This window comes from Homo sapiens, chromosome 8 (assembly GCF_000001405.40).
Source record: "Homo sapiens chromosome 8, GRCh38.p14 Primary Assembly".
Lineage (NCBI taxonomy): Eukaryota > Metazoa > Chordata > Mammalia > Primates > Hominidae > Homo > Homo sapiens.
The window spans coordinates 138,751,251-138,777,169 of record NC_000008.11 but is presented as its reverse complement, the minus strand read 5'-3'; the positions used below and the strand labels follow the sequence as shown (position 1 = coordinate 138,777,169).

The 25,919-nt window shown below is 48.8% G+C and overlaps 1 protein-coding gene across 13 annotated transcripts in view, besides 2 other annotated features; it reads left to right on the top strand.

Moving 5' to 3' along the window:
- Positions 1-25,919, top strand: part of COL22A1 (collagen type XXII alpha 1 chain) — a 325,807-nt gene that overhangs the window by 136,872 nt on the left and 163,016 nt on the right. For 12 of the 13 annotated variants that reach the window (XM_017013150.3, XM_011516886.4, XM_011516884.3 and 9 more), the window contains 7 exons: positions 1,160-1,204; positions 14,704-14,757; positions 16,883-16,927; positions 21,341-21,385; positions 21,659-21,688; positions 21,960-22,013; positions 25,659-25,712. In XM_017013150.3, coding sequence (XP_016868639.1) covers positions 1,160-1,204; positions 14,704-14,757; positions 16,883-16,927; positions 21,341-21,385; positions 21,659-21,688; positions 21,960-22,013; positions 25,659-25,712 — 327 coding nt within the window. The remainder of the gene's footprint in view (positions 1-1,159; positions 1,205-14,703; positions 14,758-16,882; positions 16,928-21,340; positions 21,386-21,658; positions 21,689-21,959; positions 22,014-25,658; positions 25,713-25,919) is intronic. The other variant, XR_001745487.2, reaches the window with a different exon arrangement.
- Positions 5,527-6,497: an enhancer, noted in NCBI's record as "H3K27ac-H3K4me1 hESC enhancer chr8:139782916-139783886 (GRCh37/hg19 assembly coordinates)". NCBI's record gives its function as "activates a minimal SCP1, AML or CMV promoter by ChIP-STARR-seq in primed H9 embryonic stem cells {active_cell/tissue: H9 hESC(primed)}" and the evidence as "EXISTENCE:reporter gene assay evidence [ECO:0000049][PMID:30033119]".
- Positions 9,309-9,468: a silencer, noted in NCBI's record as "silent region_19571". NCBI's record gives its function as "represses an Ori minimal core promoter by ATAC-STARR-seq in GM12878 lymphoblastoid cells {active_cell/tissue: GM12878}" and the evidence as "EXISTENCE:reporter gene assay evidence [ECO:0000049][PMID:35858748]".

Below are 25,919 nucleotides of genomic sequence, written 5' to 3'. Positions count from 1 at the left end.
AGAATGCCCCAGGGTCTCTTCTCCAAGAAAGGAGAGAAAAGGGAGTGGAGCCCACAGGGAGCTCACATAGATACACAGGACATGTTCCTGCTCATCCTGGAGGTCCCTACCCTGCGCCATTGCCTGGCCTGCTGGTTGCTGCCTGGGGAGGAGCTGTGCTTTTTTCAGCTCGTGTGGGTGGCCCCAGTGCCTCACCGTGTAATCTGTGCACCTGGGAAGAGCAGGCACATGCACTGCCAGGCCTTCTGCTTCTCAGAGTAGGGCAGTAGCCTTCCGACACAACCCCTAGAAGATTCCTGTGCCAAACGAGGGATCGACACAGTCACTCACTGGGTCAGTTAGTCATTCAACAAATGTGTATTAGTGCCTACCAAGTGACAGGCTCTGTTCTAGACTCTGGGGATACCATATTGAAGGAACTGCCCTAGTGGGGCTTACATTCTACCTGGGGGAGGCAGAAAATGCAGCGTTCAGGGCTGAGTATTATCAACAAAGTGACGCATGGTAAGAGGATCCAGTGACCCTGGATGATGGGGTGGGGGGAAGCAGGGGGATCATGTTTTGGATCCTGCACTCAGAGAAACCCATATCCTGGCTGACATTCCCACCTAGTCTATACACAGAGGGGCAGGGAGTCCACAGCACAAGGTCTAGGTGCTGCTCTAGATAAAGGCAGGATGAGCAATGGGGACAGACAGTGACCCTATCCCCGAGGGAGGAGGGGCGATTGCCTTAAAGGAGCCATTCTCTGATTCAACGTTGGGACCCCTGGCTGGGCACCATGGTCATGGGGTATCACAGATGTAGTGTCTTGGGGGGAACTGACTTTGAAGCCACATTTCTGTCCTTGGCCACTGGAGTTCAGGAGCCGGGCTATGTCCCAATCTATGGCCGTGAGGACCTGGATCGCCTAAGCCAAGGGACAAGCCCAGGAACTCACGTCTCACTCTGGAAGTGGCCTGCCTCTGCTGCCCAGGCCCAGACGACACAGCAGCTGCTTTGTGGCCTTAGACTACACAGGGAGACAGGGTCCTCACTATCACCATCCCTGCCACCCTGGGCTGGAAGCTGCCAGGCAGTTTCTCCATGGACACCCCCACGGTGAGCACAGAGAAGCCAGATTAAGATGTTGGGTCACTGCTCTTTCTTTGTCCCCCAGGGTCTCCAAGGAGAACGAGGTGAAAAGGGAACTCGAGGAGAAAAGGTATTTATAGTCTGCACTCATTCATCAATACGGCTTTCCATAGAAAAGGGAGAGGGTGCATGGAACCATCTGCTCTGTGTATGCTCGTGTGTGTGTGTACACATTTGTGTGTGCATGTGTGCACATGTGTGTACATGTATATTTGCATGTGTATGTGTGCATGTGGCAGGCGAGGGCTGATGCAGACAGTGTTAATTTCCCACCCTAAATGTAAGTTGTGCTGGGAAGGCTGTGGTCTCAGTACCTGCAGGTATTGTCATCCTCTGCACCAAGGCGGAGTTTAGGGTTTCCAGACCAGACAGGTTTAAGGATTGGACTCCAAAGTCCCAGTTGCTGCCTCAGAGGACTCGTATCTTACTTGGCAAGTTACATAACTTCTCTGGTCCTCAGTTACCCTGGCTCTCAAACAAATGGAAGAATGAGTGGTGACAAGAGTGGCATTGGTGACCTGCATTTGAGCCACAGTCACCAAACGTTGTGAACTGGCCCACACTCGGGCTCTTAAATGTAGATTGCCATGCAACCAACATGTCTGAGGAGGCCTAGGTGGAGGCTCCTTCATGACTGCTGCCAGGTAACAGTGGAAGGGTTCTCCGATTGGATTCCGCCATATGTGCTGACATTGTTGCCGGTTCATGGTTCCCCTGGGGAGTGGTGGGGATGGCTGCCCAACCACTGCAACTCCCACCCAGCTCCACCTTCCCAAACCATAGCTGCTGCTGAATTTTCAGTGTACTCTTCCCAGCCCCATTCATTGAGTTCCTTACGATCTGGAGCAATGTGTCCCAAGAGCTGGGGCTAGGCCCTCTCGCCTAACCCATGTCTGAGATGCTTTGCTGGGGTCTGCTGCATGCTGTCTTCCTGCAGGATGTGACTCTCTAGTTCCATAGGAACTTGTTCTTCAACCTTAATTTACATTTATTTTAAGATATTTGAAAGATAGTGAAACATAGCCTGTAATCCTGCCATCCTGATACAACTATAGTGGGCACGTAGGCATATTTCCCTTGGGAATTCTTACACATGGGGAGTGTCCCTCCACAGCCACATCATCCTGTATTCCATGCTGCGTCCTGTTTGCTGTTCCGACATGCAGCGTTTTCTCCGTGCTGCTGTAGAGTTTTTAGAGCTTGTTTTAAATGACTGCACAGCGTTCCACTGAGTGAATAAACCATAATTCAGGTACCCATTCCCCTGGCATTGATCATTTACAATTGTTTCCAGTTTTTCACTTTTAAAAAGAATGCTGCTGGGCGCAGTGGCTCACGCCTGTAATCCCAGCACTTTGGGAGGCCGAGGCAGGTGGATCACGAGGTCAGGAGATTGAGACCATCCTGGCTTAACACGGTGAAACCCCGTCTCTACTAAAAATAACAAAAATTAGCCGGGCTTGGTGGCGGGCGCCTGTAGTCCCAGCTACTCGGGAGGCTGAGGCAGGAGAATCACTTGAACCTGGGAGGCGGAGGTTGCAGTGAGCCCAGATTGTGCATCTGCACTCCAGCCTGAGCGACAGAGCAAGACTCCGTCTCAGAAAAAAAAAAAAAAAAAAAGAATGCTTTTGGTGAGCATTTTAAAACTTATAGCTTTATTTATTTATTTTCAAATTTATGATTATTTCCTTAGGCTGCTTTCCCAGAAGTGAAATTACTGGTCAAAGCAAATGAATCTGTCTGTGGCTCGCTCACGTTGCTTTCTGAAAGGTCCCTTTTCATTCAGGGAGGCGGGGACTGGCCTCGTTCCCCAAAGCAGGCTCCCAAACATGATTTTTGTTTGTTTGTATATTAAATTTTAATCATTTTAACTTTAATAAGCAAAACCCTTACCGTTACCTCTTCCGAGAGCTTTCACATGTTTCTGTAGATTTGTTTGCTGGTCAGCTCTCTCTGTGGGCCCTCTGCTCCTTCCCTCACATGGTGAGGACATAAAAGTGGCATTTGGAGTAACTGAGGCTCTGGGCACACAGGAGCGTGAGTTGCTGTGCAGCTCTGGTGCTGGAGGGAGCAGGGGTCTTATTTCAATCCCCGTGTAGCGGAGAGTGGGGTTTGAGGAACTGCCCCGCAGCAGGGCTGGGCTGTAGAAGCCAGAGGAAGCTTGAGACTCACATCCAAAGCGTGTGGCTCAGCAGTGATTCAGACAGAAGGCCCAGGCATGTGGGGGTCACACGCTGGCTGTCACCTGAGGGTGCAGTCAGAGGTGGAGCCTGTCCCTGGCCTGGAGTCTGAAACAGGCTTCCAGGCATCCCGTCTTCCCTCAGCACCCACAGAGTGCCTGGTGCAGGCCCTCCATCAAGGTCCCAAGAGTTTAGCGGGCAACACCTGCCAACACATGGCGGATATTTACGTAGTCAGCTCAACACACGGCTGCAGGTGTGCAGTGCTTTACTGTCGAGCTGGGGCAGAGGTGGCCTTTGATACACATTTGCTAAATCAATAAATGAATAAGAGATGACTCCTTCAAATCACATGTCCTACGGCCAGATCCCCTGTAAGGACAATGGATGAATCCAAGGTGTGGGACCCCCCACTCCAAAGGACAGGAGCACAGAGCCAGGTTGTGTGAAGACAAGAGACAGCCGTATTTGAAGGGGATATGGAGGCCGAAGACTCCTAGTGCCTTGGTCATCAGAACCAAATCCAGTACCAATGTGGTCCCTCGGGGGGCAGCCAGAAGCCGGGATCAGCCTGGGAAGGCGGTGGCTTCTCCATTTGTCTGAATCCTGGGCTGGGCTGAGCCTGTCAGGGGAAGGCCACTCAGGGGCCTGTGGTGGTTCCGCTCCTGGGGCTTGTTTGCCTCATCTGGGTTCACTGTTCCATGAGCCAGCAGTCCAGGAAAGTGGGTGTAAGTCACACAGCACTAATCTGAAGTGCAAAAAGAATGTTTTTTGTTTGTTTTGCTTTGTTTGTTTTTTAAAGAATATATATTTTTTAACTGGGGGGCCTGTCCCCAGCCTCAGTGTCTGCAGCTAGGCCACACGCGGCGCCGGGGCTTTGCAGAGACGCCTCCCAGCACTCAGCACCCTCTGCCTAATGGAGAAACATTGAAGACATTCTGAAGAAATCCAAAACTATGGGTTTTTTGTTGTTGTTTTTTGTTTTATTTTTTCTGAGACGGAGTCTCACTCTGTTGCCCAGGCTGGAGTCAGTGGTGCGATCTCGGCTCACTGCAACCTCCACCTCCCGGGTCCAAGCAATTCTCCTGCCTCAGCCTCTCCTGAGTAGCTGGGACTACAGGCATGCGCCACCACACCTGGCTAATAAAACTATGTTTTAAGTATTTATTTTCTTTAATGTGCCAGAAAGAATCCAAAACTACAAGCATAATCTCTGACCTAAGAAACCTACAGCGTGATTAGAAATGTATGAAAAGGTGAATGGACGCATCCGTTCCTGTATTCTATTCATTGCCTCAGTCACGTGCCCACCCACCCAGCCATCCAGCCACGAAGATTGGTATAAAAATCTTTTTTTTAAATACGCTTTGCTCAAGCATCTCTCCCTCAGAAGTCTTGCTGGGTTTCCCTGGACCTGTCCCAGAGCCTCTCCTTCTGTGCTGCTTAGAACCCCTGTCCTCTTCACCGTGATGACCTTGGTCAACCACATGGCATTTGTTTGCCTTTCAGCCACCCACCCCCACACACATATGTAGACTCTTGGATTTTTAACATAACGCACCTTATTCACCTCTGGGTCTTCCCTGCGTGAGCTGGTACCTGCAGCATGGCCCGTGGCCAGTCCTCTGTTGACACATGGGTGAGCACCGGGCCCATGCGAGAGACGATGCAGGAACCAAGATCGAACTCAGCGTGCAGACGGCCTTCCCTCACAGGTGTGGAATGGGACTTTTTGGCGATGTGCGGGTGGGTTTAAAGGGGGTACTCCACGCTCAGGGTTAGACGAAACCCTGGGAGTGGATGAGACGGCCAACAGGAAGCTGCCTGGACCACCTCACCTGAGCCAGGAAACATCACAGGGAGAAAACACTCACTGAGCGTCCACAGCAGGAACCGTCTCCATCGGAACAATGATCTCCACGCTTCCTGGAGGCTGCGGGGGCTTCGGGTGAGCTCCTGAGGCGCGGTGCAGTCGGCTTTCCCAGAGAAGCAAAGAGCTCTCCGCAGGCCCCGGGGGGCCAGGTCTGCCACTGGGACAGCTGCCACAGCTACTGGAGCCTCCGTTTTCTCACTTGCAGGATGGAAATATTAATGTCTTCTCTGAAGCCGTTGGAAGGTGGATAACAGGAACAGCGTCCGGTCCATAACTAACACATTCACAAACATTTATTACTTTTTCCCACTTGCTTCAAGAGAAATCCAGTCTGTATGCACTGTTTTGTTCTTGCCAAAACACCGTTTGGAAGCAACAGGCTTTTTTCCATGTAGCGTTGGACGTTTTTCCAGCAAGCTTTTGGAGTCTTGCTTTAAGACTTTTGTTCAGTCAAGGAACACTGCGGTTTTATCAAAATCCTAAATTATCAGACTTGGAAAGGGCTGTAGAGAAGCCGGGGGAGAACTCCTGATTGTGAAGCGGGGGAAACTGAGCGCAGAGGCCATGTGTTTCCTGATGCCCTGTGGCCTGTTAGAAAGCCAGCAGGATCCAGAAACTCCTCATTTCTGGTTTGGGCCTTCCCATCTGTGGGTTACCAGGCCCGAAGGTCAGAAAGGCAGAATGCTGGCGTATTTCCCCTAGACTGTCGCCATAGCTCTACCTGCTGTGGGAGCTTCCTTTGGGGTAAGCTCAGGAAGCGAAGATCATCCCCTGGTGAGGTGCAGGGAGTAACCTCAGCCACGCCCCCATCAGCCTCTGAGTCCCTGCAGCCTGCACCAGGTGACGTGGCCGTGGCTAGAGCAGCCCTGCACTGTGATCCTGGGGCCTGCCCTTGAATCCCAGCTCGGGGCTCTGCGAGCAGTGTGACCTGTGCAGAATTATTTAACCTGCAAGTCCCAGGTTTCTTCACTGCAGAGAGTAATTTTATCTACTTCATAAGGATATGATGAGGATTCCATGAGTTAATATTTACAAAAGGCTTAGAAAGGTTCTGGGCAGCATGTGCTTTATATATGGGGTTTGAGGATAGAGAGAAAGAGAAAACAGACACGGAGAAGGGGTGAGGATGAGCCCGCACCTCTGAAGGTCAGCTTTGCACTGCCTCCGACTCCCTTGCTGATGTGCTGGTGACTCACAAAAGAGCTGGCTCCTCTCTGTGCCTCTGTTTACCCACCTGCCAAGGAAGAGCCTGGGTTGCGTGATGCCGAACACCCCTTTTCAGCTCTCGTATTGGTGGGTGCTTACAGTTTATTTTCTCAGGAACCTCTCTGATTTCTTATATCAGCAAGAAGGTTTCCATCTTCTCTTGGAAAAAGCCCTTCCAGCTGCCTGGCCTTGCCCAACATGGGGTGGGACAGTGCCCCAGCCCTGCCTTAGCAGAGACAGCCACCATCGTCCAGCACTGAGGCCACCTCTAACAGCCCCAGGGCAGGGCATTCCCTGTAAAGCAGGGAGACGGCCCTTCATCTGGGGGTTTACCAGATCATGTCTCTGCAGGCACAGTGAGGTAACTGAAGGCTCTGGAGGCATGAGGAGGTCCAGGTGGCGGAGCCCGAGTGGGCTGTCCAGGGGCTGCTGGGCAAATCATAAGGTGAATCCAGCCAGGCACAGAGAGGAGTCTACACACAAAAAGGGCCAAGCACTGGGCGTTGAGGGCCCTGTTTCCACCTAGAAAACCATGTCTCCCAGACAACGTTGGGTGGCTGTAAACATTCCAGTCCTGAGGTTCCCCAGGTGTCCTGCCCTGACTCAGAGCAAGGAGGGGCCTCAAAATGGGAAGAGCACCAGCCTTGGAATCGGAGGAACTAGGCTGTCACCCTGGTTGGCCTCCACCAGTGCAGGTACCTTAGACAAGCTCTGGACCCCTCTGGCCTCCATGTCCATACTTGACATTTAGGGGTGGATGGTGATGCCTCTCCCAGTTAGTGGCTCTAAGGATCCAATGAGTTATGAGAGCAAGTGCAGGGCTTGGCACCTGGTAGAAGGTCCCTAAGCAATTAACAAAAGAGAGTTGGTGTTTTGAAGGGACTGAAGCCACAATCCACCCTGCAGACATGGGCACCTCTGTCTTTTCCATTTTGGCTCCCAAGTCAGCCTTATAAAAAGTCATCAATAAGTCTCACCCCCAATTTGTGTTGCTTTTGAGGGGTTGGCAGTGTCATGCACTAGGAGTGACTGTGATAAGTATTTACTGGGTACCCGCTGTGTGCTGGGTGCCTACAGATGCCCGCATTCATCTTCACTCGGTTGCCTTTATGGAGCAGCCACTTGGCAGCTCGAGATCTCAGGTACCAAGTCCGTGGGTAGCTCCAGGGCTCATCCCGAGACACCTTAGGATGTGCTGCTCCTAGAACAGGGTGGTGGTGGAGTCCCCACCGGGAGGACAAGGCAGCCCTTTGGGTGGAAGTCCCTGGGAATGGGCATCATTAGCTTGGAGGTGTCTGGGTGGGGGCAGCCAGGGTGGCTCTCAGCTCCTAAGATGCCATCTTCCCCCTTCCCAAGGAGACCACAGGGTGAGGGCATGGATTCCTTTGTTGGGTGAGCACAGTAACATAATTGGGTGGGTGGGAGCTGCCTGAAGACTTCTGTGTTTCATTTATCTTCCTCTCCTGAGGCCACGTTATGTGGTCCGAGTACAGCAGGGAGCTCATTGTTGAACTGTTGAGTTCACGTCAGTCAGTACAGTGCCTGCATCCATTCATGTCATGAGCATCACTGCACGCCAGGCCCTGCAGGGGGTAGAAGACAAATCACATCCAGGCCTTGACTCTTAAACTCACAGCTTAGAGGGGAGGGTAAGATTTGCAAAGTATAGGACAAGGAGAGCCTACGTGTCAGGAGAGAGGAAGAGATGAGATGGAAACTGAATTCCAGAAGAAAGAGAAGCCACTTCTGGAGGGGGCTGGAGAGACAGGAGATGGGAGAGTCTTCATGGGGGAGGTAGCATTTGAGTTGGGTTGTAATGGCATCCTCTTTTTTTTTTCTTGAGATGGAGTCTCACTCTATTGCCCAGGCTGGAGTGCAATGGCACTATCTCGGCTCACTGAAACCTCTGCCTCCTGGGTTCAAGCAATTCTGCTGCCTCAGCCTCCCGAATAGCTGGGATTATAGGCACCCACCAGCACGCCCAGCTAATTTTTTGTATTTTTAGTAGAGACAGGGTTTCACTATGTTGGCCAGGCTGGTCTCAAACTCCTGACCTCTTGATCTGCCTGCCTCGACCTCCCAAAGTGCTGGGATTACAGGCATGAGCCACCATACCTGGCCATAATGGCGTTCTTTACTGTGGGTGGTGATCTGTTAAGTACCCAGAATTTCACCTATGTTATCTCACAAATTCGAACCAAAAAACAACAAATGAAGGGTACTTTACATATTCCTATTTAATAAACGAGTCCGTTGTGATTGCTAGGGGTTTGAGTTCTTGTCAAAGCACAGGAAAGAGGAGCACCTGCATGTCTCTGCCACAGTGCACGCCCTTCCACTGCCTTCTGCTGCCTCCGGATGTTGGTTGGCGGAGAGGAGAATGGAAGGTGGGCTTTCTAGAAAGAGGCGATCCTGTGGCCAAGCCAGGGGCAGGCTCGGGCAAGAGTGTGCTTCAGTGACAGTCAACAGTGCCGTGCAACTGCTGCTGTGGCCGAGAGTGAGCAAGACAGATGGGGAGGGTCCCCTGCTGCCAGGCTGAGGAGGCGGCTGCATCCTGCAGGCCATGGGAACCATGGGGGGCTGGGAAAGGAAGGATGTCCAGAAATGGATTTTGGGGAGACCACTTTGGCAATGGGAGAGGCAATGGATCGGATCGAGGGCAGAGGCGGAGGGCCAGGAGGCTGTGGGGAGGATTTATGCAGGGTGTGCTGAGGCCCTCTCTGCATGAAGTACCACAGGGACACCTGGGCCATCCTGCTCATCAAAGGCACGAAGGGGCTGCAGCCGATTTCAGGGGAAAACAATACGTTAATTCAGTTCTAGCACCCATGTTATATGAATGGTTTACTGTATGTGAGGGAGAAGGAGAAGAAAGACACCACGTGTCTCCCTCCCACACTGAATGTGCTGATCAGCAGCGAGGTTTCAGAGTGGTCAGGCACGGGCAGCCGGCGGTTTTCTGCTTTCAGTGGAGTGGGGGCGCCCTCTGCTGTCAGCAACTCAGAACCGCAGCAAGTGGCCTTGGCCTGGAGGGGCTCTGTGGGCTTTGCAGCCAGGATGGAGACCGGGCGGTGCACTGTCTGGAGACTGGGTTTTCTGCCGTGAAAATGGGAACAATATCCCATACGATCGCTTGAAATGTCAAATGAGGTAGTGCCTGTTTCAGCACTTGGTTCTCAGAGCAGAGGTCCAGTCCTCTTTCGTTTGCATAAGCTTACACTTTCCTATTGATTCCGGATATGAGAATCAGAGTAGAGTTCTCCTAATACAGCTGGCTTTTTCCTTTTTTGTGTGTTTTGTTATCCTGGTGGGGAACTGGAGCCCCAGAGAGGAGCAGCCTCTCTCCAGGTGGCAGCCGGCCGTCAACAGAGTCAGGATTAGAATCCAGGTCTGGCTACTCCTTACTCAGTGCTCTCCGGGCCCTTATGTCCCCAGCACCTGTCCCTTCCCTCCTCTGCTGTTCCCCTGTTGCTGGTCCCTTCCAAGTGATTTCTTTGTCTTTCTTTCCCCTACCCCAAGCCCATTCCACACAGTCATCCTTCGTTTGGCCTAACTGACTGTTAATGCGCACCTTCCACGTGCCAGGCAGTATTGTCAGCATCTCACGTAGATTAGCTCACGTGGTCCTCACAGCAGCTTTACTGGGTAAGTATTAATATTATGCTCCTTATTTGTAGAAACCGAGTGACAGAGCTGCTAAGGAACTGGTCCAAGGTCACACAGCTGGAGCGTGGGAGAGCCAGGGTTTGGATCTGAGTCGTGCGGTTAACCACCACCCATGTCCCCTCTACCCCGGAGCCCGGGGTCTCACTCTCAGTCTGCAGGAGCCGAAGCCTGCACTCAGCTGCATTTGTGTAGCCAGTGCAGTGCTAGCAAAGCTGGCAAACCCAATCAACAGCAGCAAGTCTGAGTGGAGGGCCTGCAGGGGGGCATGGGTGCCCTAGTGTGGCCTCAGGATGGGCCCACACTATGGCATGGTTCCACTGCCTGTCCCAGATGCTGTGGCAGGCATTTCAGCTTGAGACCGCACTCTGAATGCCACATCTTCTGTCTCTCTCCCTGTCCCTGACTGTGTGTGTCTCTCAAACTCTCTCTTCTGTCCTGTCTTTCTCGGTCTCTCTGCGTCTGTCTCTGTCTGCGCCTGTCTTAACTGTCCCTCTGCTTCTCTGTGTCTCTTTATCTCTCTCCTGTCTATCTGTCTTCTGTCTTTTTCTGTCTCTCTCTCCGTCTCTCACATCTCTTTGTCTTTGTTTTTCTGTTACTGAGTCTCTCTCTCTGTGTCTCTGTATCTGTCTCTGTCTCTCTCTGTCTCCATCTGTCTCTCCCCCACCCCCACTCTTCTCTTTCTCACTTATTTCCTTCCCTCATGTATCCTCTCTCATTCCTCTCGCCCCTGCTAATGACCACGCATCCATCAGGCCCGCAGCCATGTCCACCTCGCTCCTCTGTCACATGCCGGCCAGCAGTGCAGACTGCTGCCCCCAGGTCCAGCCAGGCCCTCTCTGTGCACCTGCAGCTGTCCTAAGCTGCAGTCAGAGGAACTCTTGGCTCCAGACTCCACTCATCTTGGTGTGCAAGTGCAGGGAAGTAAGAAACAGGGACTTGGGCAACAGGCACACTTGGCCTTGCTCTGAGGTCTCTGGGAGAGTCAGGTTCCAGGGTGATTGTCAGGTCCACATCTATGCCAAATGTCACACTCGGATTTAGGGTCCAGCCCTTGCTGAAGTCTGAGGGGAGTGGGTGGATGAGCAGATGGCTGAAAGAACACTCAGGGGGCCATAGGGCAGGTGAAATGTGGTTCTACTCAGCAGCTGTCTCATCAGCAGCTCACTCACACTAGCTCTCTTACACTGTTCTCCCATCAGCAGCTTACTCTCACACTGTCTGCTCGGTCTTGGCTGCTTAGCCTGGTGGCTCCTCTCTGCTGAGAGGACACACAGCTGTGCAGCCGGCTCTCCCTGCCTTCAGGGTCAGCAGCTTCACTCTTTCTCTCTCTGGGCACAAGGAAGCTGAGCTGGGTCCTGCCTCCCCGCCGTCTGCAAGACAGACAGCTTTGGCTCTCTCTCTTTCTCTGGGCGTGACCACACCTGCACAGTGTCAACAGGGCAATTATACCTTTTACAGACAATAGTGGCCTAGGGCCAAGGGATGGCCTTCCCATGTTGTGGCTCCATAGCTATGTTTCCATTATACATGGAATTGTGCGCCTGCGTTCCAAACTCACTGAGTCACTCAGGCCCGGATGTCCGCCTCAGCCTATTCCTTGACCAAAGCACAGCCATGTTCCTTACAGTGATCTTTAGTAGGGTGGCCTGTCACAAGGAAGTGCACTCAGGACTGGAAATCAGGAGACCTCGATTTGAGTCCTGGTACCACCGCTAAGTTTCTATGTGCCTTTGGACAAGGTGCACCCTAGGGCTCCCAGTTTCCTCATCTAGAGGTAGAGGGTGAGAGTCCATGGGCTCAAAGACCCTTGTCCACTCACCAGCCCAGGCCCCGCAGTCCCTCCAGGGACTCTGCTCCGACCCTCCCCCTCCAAGGCAGTAGAAAGAGACCAAGGACGAAAGGACAGGAGGGCCGGTTCTGGCGCCAGTGCCAGCACACCCAGCTGGGGTGAAGTGGCTTCACCTCCTCCGGCCTCAGTTTCCTCATTTCTTGTTGGTGCTTGGGCCTGCCAACCTTGCCAAGTTTGGAGGAGAGGATATAGTGATAGATGTGGAATCACTTGGCAGAGACGAAACCCAGGCAGCTCCACTCACCATTCGCCCCAAGTGTCACGTGATGCAAAGACTTTTTATTTTTATTACTTTTATTTTGTTTTGAGACAGAGTCTCACTCTGTCGCCCAGGCTGGAGTGCAGTGGCACGATCTCGGCTCACTGCAACCTCTGCCTCCCAGGTTCATGCCATTCTCCTGCCTCCTGAGTAGCAGGGACTACAGGTGCCCACCACCATGCCTGGCTAATGTTTTTGTATTTTTCAGTAGAGATGGGGTTTCACCATGTTGGCCAGGGTGGTCTTGAACTCCTGACCTCAGGTGATTTGCCTGCCTCAGCCTCCCAAAGTGCTGGGATTACAGGCATGAGCCACTGGGAAAGCCTTTTTAAAAGATTAGTGTATAATTGTGATTGAAAATACAAGTGTACATCAATGTTCTGGAATTTTAAAATAATTTCTGAAAGATAGAAAACATGTAGGATTAAGTTTATGTAGAAGCAAGGCCAGGGGCCTGCAAACCAAACTGCAGAGCCCAGAGAGGGTTGGGACACCCCTACGTTCACATCAGTGGGTATGGGGAATGGGGGGACCCTGAGGCAGGCGTCAGTGATTCACTGGTTTCCTGCACTTGGAGACGCAGAGTCAGGCAGCCCCTGCCCCATTCCCTGCCCATCCTGGGCAGTAGGAAGCCTCAGTATTTGTTTCCAGATGAAAGGAGAGACCCACTCCGCAGGTAGCCAGCAAGCCCGGGGAGAGATAGGAGCAGCCACACAAGGAAGAAAACCTTCCTCTGCATCCCACCCACGGGAGGTTCCCCCTGCCCTGCCATCCCCAGAGGGAGCGGCAGTGAATAGAATCATTGTCCACTGGTGGGCAGGCACCCACAGCGAGCACAGCAGCCATGAGCTGAAAACCAAGAACCTGCAACCCCTGGAAGAAAAACAACATCCTGAAAGAGAGGAACCAACCTCAAACGGAAAAAGCAGCAAAGAAATCACGACTTGGGAAATGAGGTTATAAAGAAATAGAAGGAGAGTTCAACATAATTTGTATATATAATCTTCCAGTCATTCAGTAAATGTCAGCGGGGCCCACACTGAGGCTCCAGGAACGGAAGAACCAAGAGTGAACGCACCTCCTGTCCTCGTGTGACTGGGGAGGTGCGTGTACAGGGATAATAGATGAAAATTGAATTAAGGGAGATGAGGGAGAAGAAAATGAGACCATGCTGCAGCCGAAGAGAGTCTCTCATTTAGATGAAAAGGTCAGGAGGGGACACTGAATCTGAGCCCCGAAGGGTGCAGGGGAGGCAGCGGAGGGAATAGGAGGCAGGGAAGGCAGAAGCCGGAACAAAGTGGCTGTGTCTGAGGAGCCTGATGAAGGAAGCCGCAGCTGCTGGGGTGCAGGTGGGAGACTGTTCAGATGAGCCTGAACCCACCATTTGGAGTGTCTGCCCCACGGAGTTCTTGCAGCCCACCTGGAAGAAGGACCCCCACTGGGAACACCAGGCCTGAGTTAGCCCAGGACTTGAACACACCAGCACCTGGGAGTTGGCTCAAGAAAACCAGGGCACAGCTAGGGGAAGACGATGGCACTGACTCACTACCTATCCTCAGCAGGAAGGTTTTCAGTGGACTTGCTCATAGGGATCTTTTTCTTTTTCTTTTTTTTTGGAGACAGAGTCTCACTCTGTCGCCCGGGCTGGAGAGCAGTGGCATGACCTCAACTTGCTGCAGCCACTGTCTCCTGGGTACAAGCCATTCTCGTGCCTCAGCCTCCCAAGTAGTTGGGACTACAGGCACACGCCACCACACCCGGCTAATTTTTGTATTTTTGGTAGAGATGGGGTTTCACCATGTTGGCCAGGCTGGTCTATAACTCTTGACCTCAGGTGATTCACCCGCCTCAGCCCCCCAAAGTGCTGGGATGACAGGTGTGAGCCACCACGCCCAGGCTTTTGTTTTCTTTTTTTTGGGAGTCATAGCTATCTTTTGAGGAAGGGGTTATTATCATCCCCAGGGTAATCAAAACACTCTCAGAGAGGTGAAGTGACTGCCCAAGATCCCACAGCTAGTAAGACACTCAGTCAGCTCCGTCTGAATGTAAACAGATGAATGCGCAGATGGTGGCTTACCGCTAGCCAGCAGTTCACTCTGAAGTCTATGTTGAGTGCTGGGGATGTGGTGCATGTTCACACGTGTTTACGGGACAAATGAATGATGCATAAAATACACCTGCAATTTTATGAACTGCATTACAGACCCCACTCACCCATGGCTTTGTTTGACCCCCATGAACCGTGAGATGAAGAGACTGTGTGGCTCACAGAAGGCACATGGCCATCTCTTGGCCACAGATTTGAAAAGTGAAAAGCAGAGGGATGACTCTAGTTGTTCTGACCCTAGACCTATGTTCCTTGTCCTCCAAGACACATCCCGTCTAGGGCTGTTGTGTGTGTGTGTGTGTGTGTGCACGTGCGTTTGGCACCTTTTCCCCACCCTCCTTGTCCATGACGGTCACTGTGGGGATGTGTGCTGGGCTGCTGCCTGTGGTCACTAACCTCTTTATTTCACCATTTGCCTTCTTTTGCCAGGGAGAGCGAGGCCTGGATGGATTCCCTGGGAAGCCTGGGGACACAGGACAGCAGGTAGGTGGGTGCTGGCGCTGTTGGGCTAGGTTTCATCAGCGGTCAGAGGATGGGAATGACCAGACCCCACATAAAGCTCCACAGAGCCTCAGCACCTGGGCCTCCTCCTTGCTCAGCTGGAGGCTGCAGGAGGCTTAGGACCAGACCCCGGCTGTGTGGCTGTAGGTTGACTCTGCGAACCCCAGAGCTGGAGGGATCCCACTTGAAATCCATTTTACATCAGGTAAGGTGGTGCGTTATCATAATGTAAAGGCCTCTGACCACGCGCACGTTTTCAAGGTGATGTGTGTAAGCAGCGCTCATTGCCGTCTTGTCCCCAGAGGGAAGGATTCAAGACAGCCCCAGTGCTCCTCAGTACAAAGCTAGTTAAATAAATCAGGAGGCATCGACACAGAGAGTGCTATGAGGCTGAGGACATTCATGAAGAAACTCTGGATGCACTGATGTGAGGGGTCTGCAAGACATGTGGTTCAGTGGAAAATAAAGAAAAGTGTTGGGAATGGTGTCGGGGGAAAATGCATCTGGTGACTTACAAAGACCGTCGCTAGAAGAAGACATAAGACGATGATAACCTTGCTGCTTGGTTGCCCCCAGAAGGGGACTTTAAATGTTTATGCACTTCAGTTTTGAACCATGTGAACGCATCATCTATTCCAAAAGAAACTACATTTACATATTTAAATTTAAAAACTAAAATGAAATAAAACCTAAAATCATACATTCATATTAAAGCCAATTAGTAAAATACTATGTTGCATAGCATAATTTAACATATACATCAATTAATATATTTATTGATATAAAAATGAAACCATAGATAAAATATATATGTTAATTATATTAAATGTCAATGAATTACAATAAATATTCTAATATACTATATTAATATAAATTAAACTTATAGTTCATTCCATCTCCCACAAATATCTGGATTTGTATTTATTGTCAGGTAACACATTGGAATCATACTTTTTATATCTTGCTTTTCTTCCTTCAACATTGTATCATAAACGTGGAACCATTTAAAAAAATATTCACCAAAGGCCTGACTCAAATGACCAGTTAATGGTCTATGGTATGAATGTACCACGATTTATTGACTTGCTTAAAAATATCCATCGTGCAGTGCCTGGTTGCCAGGCCTGGCTCTTGTCACTGGAAATACCCGCTTGGTGATGGCAAAGAGGGAAAGGAATCCTTCCCATGGATGAGTGTGCAAAAAACAATAACCCAGCACACAGACCTAGTGCTGGTGGTGTGGGCTGGCCGGCGAGGGTCTCAGGGTGCAGGGGAAGCCAGGCAGTGGGGTTACAGATCTTTGCTGTTCAGAGTACAGAGGAAGTGAGGGTGCTTTGCATGCATCCTTGAACGCATGTCTATGTCCTTAGGATCTTTTCCTATACAAAGCCCTCTGTCCATGGATGGAGATTGATTGTGCAGCTGCCCTCCAGGCCCTCCCTGGGGTCTGTGAGGACGCTGGCTGAGGACTACCCTGTGCTCTGTGCTGTGGCTCCTGGGCTGCTCCCACGCCCTGCTCCTGCAGGAGCTGGGGAAGCTCAGGCGTTCTCTTGGCCGCTGGTGGAAAGCTTCCCAGCAGGGACATTGAAGAGCAGGAGGGACAAGTCTTCAGCATCCTCTGCACCAGACTTCTGGGACTTTGATTTCCCTGTGGCCCTAACTAATCCTGGCCAGAGTCTGGGCAGCTCTTCCCTCTTCCCTGGTGCCTCACCAGTCCTCAGCTCTAAGGATTTCCTTCAACTCCACCAGACTCCACCTTCTATGCTCCCTGGGCCGGGGCAGGTCCTGGTTATGTGCTTCTTCTTCCTCTTGCCCAGGCCCTCATATCCCTAAGGAAGGGGTCCTTTGTTTTCTCAGAATGTGTTATCCATGCTGCAGAACCAGCGCAACTGCAGATGAGAAAGCATGGAGATAGGGAGCTTAGGTTAGTTGAGGAAGAACTTTCTAGCAATAAGCACAGTCCAGAAAGTCAGGTCTAAAGGGACTTTGGCTTCTGAAGAAAAGTCTAGCCACAGTGGGCAGCTGTCTTTCAACCTGTTTCTCCCCAACACCCCACCACCGTATCCGTAGTGCCCATCATAATCTGCCTTTTCTTTCTTTCCTCCAGGGCAGGCCCGGCCCTTCTGGTGTGGCAGGACCCCAGGGAGAAAAGGTGAGCGAGCCTGGGGCTGTCAAGGGCTCTGTGCCCTGGGCAGGCAGGTGCGGGGACTGCCCGCCTTGGCAAACCAGGCTCAGGGAAGGGGCCTGGGTGGCAACTCTGGGAACAAAGCACACACAAAGGGTGGTGGCTGGGGCATCAGGAACTCACATAAGACATTTCTGGCTATCATATTGAATTTTTTTTCTACTTTTAGGAATAAACATACATTTGAAAAGCAAAGAAAGTTCTGTTATATAATATATAATATTTATATAAAGTTCTGTTATATAATATTTAGATGTATTAAAATGTAAAAAAGCATTACAGTGCTTTTTGGAATAAGGAAGGCTATAAATAAATATTAAAAAATCTTACAAAAACTTTTTCCTTTTCTCTTCCTCTTCTTTTCTCCTTCTCTACTACATTTTGCAATTTTTAAAAATCAGAATCAGAATCCTGAAAATGCCCTAGGTATTTGAAAAACAAAATAAGGGTTGTATCTTACTTTATTGGTCATCTATTTTAGAATATCTTCCAGGTTTAATGAAGTAAATTTGCTGCTAAGAATTTCTGCATCTCAGATGCAACAGTGGCAGGTAGACATTCTTTGCAAAATGTGAAGGGCCTACAAAAATGTCCATGAAAATAGCCTTCCTAAGCATTGAGGGTCACGAAGAAGGAAAAAGAGAAGGTGTGATGTTGTATTCTGGATTGGCATAGGAGGGGTGACGAGACATAGCCTGAGCTCAAGTGCAAGAGGATGACATTCTTCCAGGTTCCTAGACAGGCCCTTAGGAAGGCATCAGACATTGGGTTGGAGAATAACTGGGGAGAGAGAAGGGGCTGAGACGGGAGACATCCAGCTCAGCTCAGACGGCTGAGACCCGATCAGCATCGCTTCTTCTCAGAGCGGCTCACCGCAGAGTTCAGGTGAAGGTCATTGTCTGACTCAGACTGGTTTCCAGCATATGCTCTAAATATGGGAGAAGGCTGCTCCAACTCCTTATGGAAGCAGACAAGGTATCTGTTATAAATAAATAAATAGTACGGGCTGACACAGACCTCAGCTTAGGATGGGGGCTGGAGAAAGTTAATGTCTTCCAAACTCGCTCACTCGGGCTTCAGTGCTAGCCGAGTTCATTATTCTCTCTCCTTCTAAGTATTTTTAGAGTTGAGATGTATATTGTTATATTATCCAGGTGTCAGGATTTTAATATATTCTTGCAGTTCCTTGACAGGGGATGCTAAGTCCTAAAATAAGCAGTTTATTTCAAGTCACAAAGAGGGAATGAGCCTTGAAGTCTGGATCTAGGTGATGACTCTATTTCTTGCTGCCGCCTATGTGTGGGTGTTATAAGTTTCAACCTTCCACCTTATTTAGAGATTGGGTTTGGCCCTTCATATTTGGGAAACTGCTGAGTTATTATTTCTTATTATGATAAATGCAGCAGAAATGGGAGGAGAAGGTCAAGGACCATGGCATGATTTTGGGGTTTTCATTAAAATAATTAAGAAACCAGTGAAGCTCAGGTGATATGATGCCTCTCATCTCATTCTGAGATCACATCCTTGAGACAAATCTTAGATGCTACACAATTTGGGAAAGTCACTGGAACTGCAGAGACGGTCTTTTTAAACTGCTTCATTTTACAGATAATAGACCGAAGTCTAGACAATTACAATTTCTTGCCCAAGCCCCAAAGTGAATCTGATTATTGACCAAGGCCTATCATATTATCTGCCTGTCCATTCGATGATTTACTGCAGATCTAAATATCAGGTGATGCATTTTTATGCCCTTTTAATGATTTTACTGGATTGGGTCTATGGTTGCACTAGTTACCTACCGCTGTATAATAAATCATCCTGAAACTTAGTAGTTGGAAACAATCATGTATGATCTCACACGATTCTGAGGGCAGGAATCTGGGAATGGCATGGCTGGATTGTTCTGCTTCACGATCTCTCCTGAGAGGCAGACAAGCTGTCAGTGGGGACACATTAATAGTTATCTCAAGGGTCCACTGGTGCTGGAGAATCTACTTCCAGGCTCACTCATGTCATCACTGGTAGGCCTGAGTTTCTTGACAGCTGTTGGCCAGAGATGTTTACTTCCCTTTTACATGGGCTTCTCCATGGTACTGTGCACAGAAAGGGAAATTGCTCCCCAAAAGTGAGCAGTGACTGGTTCAAGGTTGGGGGAAAGGAGGGAGTCTGAGATGGAAGCCACAGTCATTTTTATCACCGAATCTTGGAAGTCACCTCCCAGCACGTCTGCTGTTTCTGTTAGTCACATAGAGGAACGGGGATGGTGTGGGAGGTCCCCACACAGGGTTGCATGCAGGAAGCAGGGACTACGGGGGACCGTCGTGGAGACGGGCCACCACAGTGGCCACAACTGATCTTTACAAAAATGTGTCACCCATATTGTGGGAAGAAATTGATTCTAGGAAAGACTTTTGGTCCTATTATGTACTAGACTTCTGACCTTGGACAAGTTACTCGGTGTATCTGTGCCCCAGTTTCCTCATCTTTAAGACAGGAAAGATAGTATCATAGGGAACGAGAGTGAATCCATGTCCAGTCCCTGAAGAAAAGCCTGCAAGGCAGAGTCTCTCCAATAACTGTTAGCTGTATACACACAGTTGTTAGGGATGGATACGAGGGTCTTAGTTTTCCTACCAAATTTGTTGGAACATTGGCCCTTATATGGTGAGTTGAGAGTAATTAAAACATGTGTTGATTGATTGATTTCATAACTGTTATTGGAAACTCACTTTTGTGGTGTAATATAATAATAATATTATGAGAAATACAACAATGAAACCAACAGAAGGGAATGTGACAGTTGACACAAAGTAGTCATAAAAAAGACATGATTTTGAACCTCAAAAGATTCATTATTCAGCCGTTCTCTCTCTCCCTCCACACACACATACACACACACATAGTATAGCTCAGAATGTCTTCTAACAATCCTGTATTACCAAGATATGAATAAGGTTTGTGGGAGTCTAGGGGAAATCTGACTCTGTTTGGAGATGTTGAAGGATGTTCGTGAAGAAGTGACTTGATATCCGCGCTGGGATCTGAGTGTATGGAGATCTTCATGTTCTCATGTCCTGGAAGTGCCTGCAGGGGCTATAGAGTGGTGAATGCAGTGTGTGTGCAAGCACATGTGTGTGAGAATATGTGCTCGTGTGTGTGCACGTGTGTGCAGGGGTACTGGCAGCATGGAGAGAATAAAACAGAATAGAGAAGCGTTTCTGAGGCAGGACTCGATTTCTCTGTGTGAAAAACAGGAAGGTACAATGAAGAAAACTGGCACTCAAGGTTTTTGACATAAAACATGATGGATCGGGATTTTTAGAAAAACACTTGATGCTGTGAAAAGTGAGGTGATTTTTCCAGGTCTCGGGCAGGGATGGGAGACAGGGCATTGGAAGATACATTGTAAATGTATCCATTTTGGTCTCAGAGGAAACATTTTCTGTCCATAGAATAGAATCCCCAAGGCAGTGAGCGTGTGTCTTGAGCCATTCACTCTTCCCCCTTAGCCTTAAGACCTAATAGATGCCTTCAGCTTTAATTGGTGATTCATTTATTCATTTACTAGCTTCATTAACAACAGGTTTTAAGTGTTTCCCATGCTCCCTGAGCTAAGCTCTAGGTAAAAGGAAAAGTTATGTCCCTACGTCATGTGTGGAAACATTGACTATATGTATTTTCCTTGCTTTAGCCATAAGGCACCATAGAAATAATACTAAAGATTTTTCTGTGATCAAAATTGATAAATATGCTTCATTTAGGACCAAGTTGTAGCGCACACGCTGGAACATCCGGTCAGGCCACAGCCGTCATAGCCCAGGGGACCTGGAGGCCAAGGAGGAGGAGGCAGGAGACAAACCTTGTGTATAAAGTGACTTAATGAAAATGGATGAGAAGCAGTGCCACATTTTTAGTTACTTATTTGATAAATACTTATTGAATGCTGACTGTGTGCGGAGCTATGAACCTGGCATAAGAGACCTGCCAAAATATATCATCACAGCTCTCACAGTGCAAAGACAGTGGCTGGCGCAGGCAGGGGCTCAATGAGGCTGCTCTCAAGCCGCAGAGGCTGGTGAGGGCCCTGAGGTGTTCATGGAACATGACCCAAATCTAGGCACTAGATTGGATGTGCACAAAATAGAAAATAAGACTCCTGCCAGCAAGAAGCCTATGATCTGAGGCAGAGATGAGGATCAGAACCCGAACTTTGAGAATTTCAGAAGACAGCAGGCTCGGGCAAGACGAAGATATGTGTGGTGGTGCACAGGGAGGGGTGTGGTCCCCTGGGCCCACAAGAATAAGCCTCAGAGGGATGGGACTGCCACAGAAGGTGGCACCAGTAACTATGCTGAAATGTTTGTCGTTTCTGTGCAGGGTGACGTGGGACCTGCGGGGCCACCTGGTGTACCAGGCTCAGTGGTGAGTCAGCAGTGGTTGGAATCATGGATGCAGGTGCTGGTGGGATTGGGTGGTTGGATGAGTCTTCACCTCTAAGAATAAGGCAACGCTCTTCCAAGGACATGGGTTGGATAGAAGGCTTTCAACACTAAAAATGGGGCAGAATCAGAGAAAAGTCAGGAGGCACGACATGACAGCATGGCCTGTGAATGAATGGCCTTAGTGCAGCTGAGAGAGGTTGACTGTGGTTGCGGAAATGCCAGCACCTTTGCTAATGCTTGCTTTGTCTCTCAGGTGCAGCAAGAGGGCTTGAAAGGGGAACAGGTAAGAGGCACACGCGTCTTCTTCTCATGGGGATTTAGGTCACAGCAGAAACAGAAAAGCCACAACCATGATCTCAGGCTGAACTCAGATGGAGCCTTTCAGACTTCAGTTGCCTTTCTGCCAGAAATGCAAATACCCACTCCCATACCTCTACTCCCTATCGAGAACTTGGAAAGTAAACTTTGAGTCAGGAGAGGGCCATGGGTGATGGTGGGCCTGATCATATGGGGGAAAAGTCATGACTAAACATCTGTTTGGCTTGTGTTACCAGGGAGCTCCAGGACCCAGAGGTCACCAAGGCGCCCCCGGTCCTCCAGGAGCTCGGGTAAGTTGTCCCTCTCCTGCGCAGGGTTTGCTCTGCACGCTTCTCTTACCAATGGGTTTGGAAGATCAGAGTCATTCCCGGCGCTGAGCATGGCATTATCTCAAGCGCCTTCACATCACCTGAGTGGGTTGTGCTGTTGTGGTCACGTCTCACGTAGGAAAAACTGAGCCTGGAAGAGGTGGGATAACTCTCTCCACGTCAGGCAGCTGCCATGTGTGGAATGGGATTGAAGTGTGGGCACCCTGCCTTCAGAGCCCCCAGTCCCCAGCGGGCCATGATGGGGGTTTCTGGGGATTCAGTTTGATGTTTTATTTTCCATTCAGATAAAGTAGAATAAAAACATTGGACACTTACATGCCGACTGAATCACTTCCAACGCACTCACTTTTCCCATGTTTCTGGTCAGTTCTGACTTTGCAGTGGCCTGGGACGTTTCAGCCTCTGGTTTCTCCCCCTGCTAAGAATTTAATGATATGTAAATCACCAGTTGGGAAGCGGCCATCCAAAGGGCCCTTGTGATTATCTTATGATGTGAGTTCAGATATCGAGAATAATTAGTAAGAATACAGTACCCTCCACAGGGTCCCTGCTTTAAAGTTGCTTCTTCTGGCAATGTGCTGCTGTTGCTTTCAAGTTACTGTATTTTATTGAAAGGAATAAAATAACTGACTTATAAATGAACATAGATCAGATTTATTTTAAGCTATTGAGGCCCACTCTTTATGAGGATATATTTATATGTTTTTGCTGGGGTAAAACTAGAAGAAACTTAAGGGATGTTTAATTCTAGGAAAATTAGAACAATTTTATATCAAAGATTTTGGATCAGAAAATCTAACTTATGTCTCTGTGACCTCTCCAGGTTCGGTTTCCAGAGCTGCCCACAATTGTAACTGTTGAGAGATTTAAACTAGATAATGCAGAGAATGCAGTGTGTTCCAATATTTACCTTTCTATGCATACATACATGTATATTTCAGATCTATTATTGGCAAGTATTGAAGGTCTATACTATATATGTTTTCTTGTGCAAATATATGCATATTAAGTCTGCAAGGGTGAAGATGTTATTTTTCATCTTTTACCAATGAAAACATTAGTGCAGAGACATTGAGTGGTTTGCACAAAGTCACATAGCTCTTGAGAAGCAGAACTGAACTTGAACCTAGATCTGACTGTGCAGCCTCTCCTGTTTTCACCACGGAGTATACAATCCTTCCTCTGAGCTCCGTAAAGGGGAATTACTTTACTTCATGGTCCCCATTACAGAAGAAGAAGCTAAAGATAGCTAGCTCTGCTTAATCATGAGGCAAACTTCTTGGCCTCTTCCTGAGATGAAAATATATGGGTAGTCCTCACCCTTTACCTAGATTTTGTTACAGTAAATGAGGGAGGGAGAGAAGGAAGAAACCTCAAACGTTTGTGACCACCTACCTTATATCAAGCAAAATACTAAGGCTGAAGATATAGGGATGAAATAACACATGAGGCACCCTCAGAGTCTGAAGAAGCAGCTATGTGAAAAAAGAAATAACTGCAAGCAAACATTTGCAATTTCTAGATGATGAATTGGAATCCCCTGCACGTACCATTTCTAGGGTCCATTAGACAGGACATGCGGATGGTCTTGAATCTACCTACTTTCAAAATTCAGGATATCTTAGCCTGATGCCCCACGGGGTTCCCCGTGGTTCTGAAGATGTCTTCTAGCCTAGACAGAATGGGATTTAGTACAATACATGATGTTAGTGATAAGATTCCCTTCGGAGTGTTCAAAAAGCAAACAGCCTAACTAAAGGCCTTATTAAGAGAAGAACAGTAATGAGAGGCCCAAGACTATAAGATTCTTTAGTCGAGGACCAACATCTCTCCCGTCTCTCAATCCACAGGGTTTATCACATGGTGGGAACTTAACACACGCTTGTAGAGCTAGCCCTGCGGCAGGTGTTCAAGAGGGCCAGTAAAGTGAACCTGTCTGCAGCATGAGCTACAGAAATAGGGTCATGGAAGGTACTTGGGATTAGGAACCAGAGCACCTGATTTCATGGCCCAATTTGTCCACCAAGTAATTTTGTGGCTTTGGTGACATTGCTTAATCTCTGATCCTCATTCGATTCACCCCTAACTTGGAAATCTACCGCAGCAGCATCTTCTCCTATGTAAACATACTATGAGGTTAAATGAGCTGCTCTCTGAGGCAGAGCCCCATGGAGCCTGACTGAGCCCAATGCTGATATCAACTGTCACTTCTCTCTGCTTTTGAATCCGCAGCAGCACCTAGCTCGGGGCCTTCTGCAGAGCAGTTACTTTCTAAATATTCATTGGGTTGAATTGAATTGAGAAGCTGGCTTCAGTGACTTCTGTTGAGAATGGAAAATTTTGAGTTTGTGTTCAGCAATCCCAGAGAGAGGAAAATATATCCCATTCTCGAAATGGAAACAGTGTTCAGCATTCTGCATCCAAATGCTGGCATCTTTCATCCATTCCCTAAGATGAAACAGGCTTTGATAGTTTTACCAATGTCTCATGGAGTCACTAAAGGGCCAGAGATGTAGATCAATGCCAGCTATTTCTTGACGCTTAAAAATCTCATGCCTTTAGGGCCTTCTCTTTCTGTGTGTCCTGAGCTCAACAGAATCTCCTTGTTAGGAAGAGAGATCCACACCTTTAATTACTGCAGTTTGTCCATTGATTTATTCATTTACATGGCGTTATTAAGAGAAAGGACCTTTGATGTAAATGCAGCTTGGTCACGTACAGTTACGCAAAATTTAGCAGCAGTAGCTATTAGTATGATAATTATGAAAATAATATTTATCGAAGATGTGGAAATTGAAATGCAGAGAGGGCATTTCTGGCCAAATTCACCCAGAAGTGGTGATAGAGTCACAGCTTAAGCTTAGGGTTTCAGTTTCCCACTCACATGATATGCCTCATTCTGTGGTATAAATCAGGGTTCTGTCAGGGGACCTGGGTGCTGTGCCCCAGCTTTAGAACCCATTCATAACTGCTCAGTAGGTGGTTGTATCATCCCCACTTCAGAGATGAGATAACCGAGGTTTAACGGCACCAAGTGACTTGCCTGAGCTCATGAGGCAGAATCGAGGCAGGACGAGGGGGCAGGATTCGAATGAGGTCAGTATGACCCCTCCCTGCGCCAGTGTTCCTTGGTTAATTGATATTGATCTTTCCTAGGCAGTTTCATTCATTTGTCCAGACTATCATGTTTTGCATATCACTGTTGCCTGAGAGTCAGATAGTCTATGCCAGTTCTTTCTGAGCCAGCAGGCTGCAGGGAAAGGGCACTGGGCTTAGAATCAAAGACACTTAGGTTCCAGACAGTTCGCTTCTGTGTGCTTTGTGCAAACCACTAAAGCAAGCTGTTGGATGCTTACAGTACTCAGTATAAAGTACGAACTAGGTTTCTTACATCCTGACTGCTCAACATACTTAATCAGATCTGATAGATGTACATGTTTTAAAGTGTTATAGGTTTGAGAGAATGGGACCTCCGAATTTCCCCATCAGAATGGGATGGTATTACACTATTCAATGAGGGTGAGATTCTAAAGCCTAAGCTATGCCATTGAGCCCTGCATTTACCATTATGTTTCTCTCTCTTTTTCCTTTTTCTCCCTCCTAAAGGGTCCAATAGGCCCAGAAGGCAGGGATGGACCTCCTGGTTTGCAAGGTCTCCGAGTAAGTAAACTCTCTTTTCTTTGTGATTCCTCAGCTCACCCACACTGGTCCCTATTTTATAATGCCATGCAGAGAAGATAGACAGTGTCAGTTTCAGGGACTTGAAATGAATATTGGAAGTAGAATGAAGGGTTGGATTCAGTTCATCAAACATGGTTGAGGTTCTACTATGTGTTCTGCCTTGAGTTGGGCTTCAGGGACATGGAG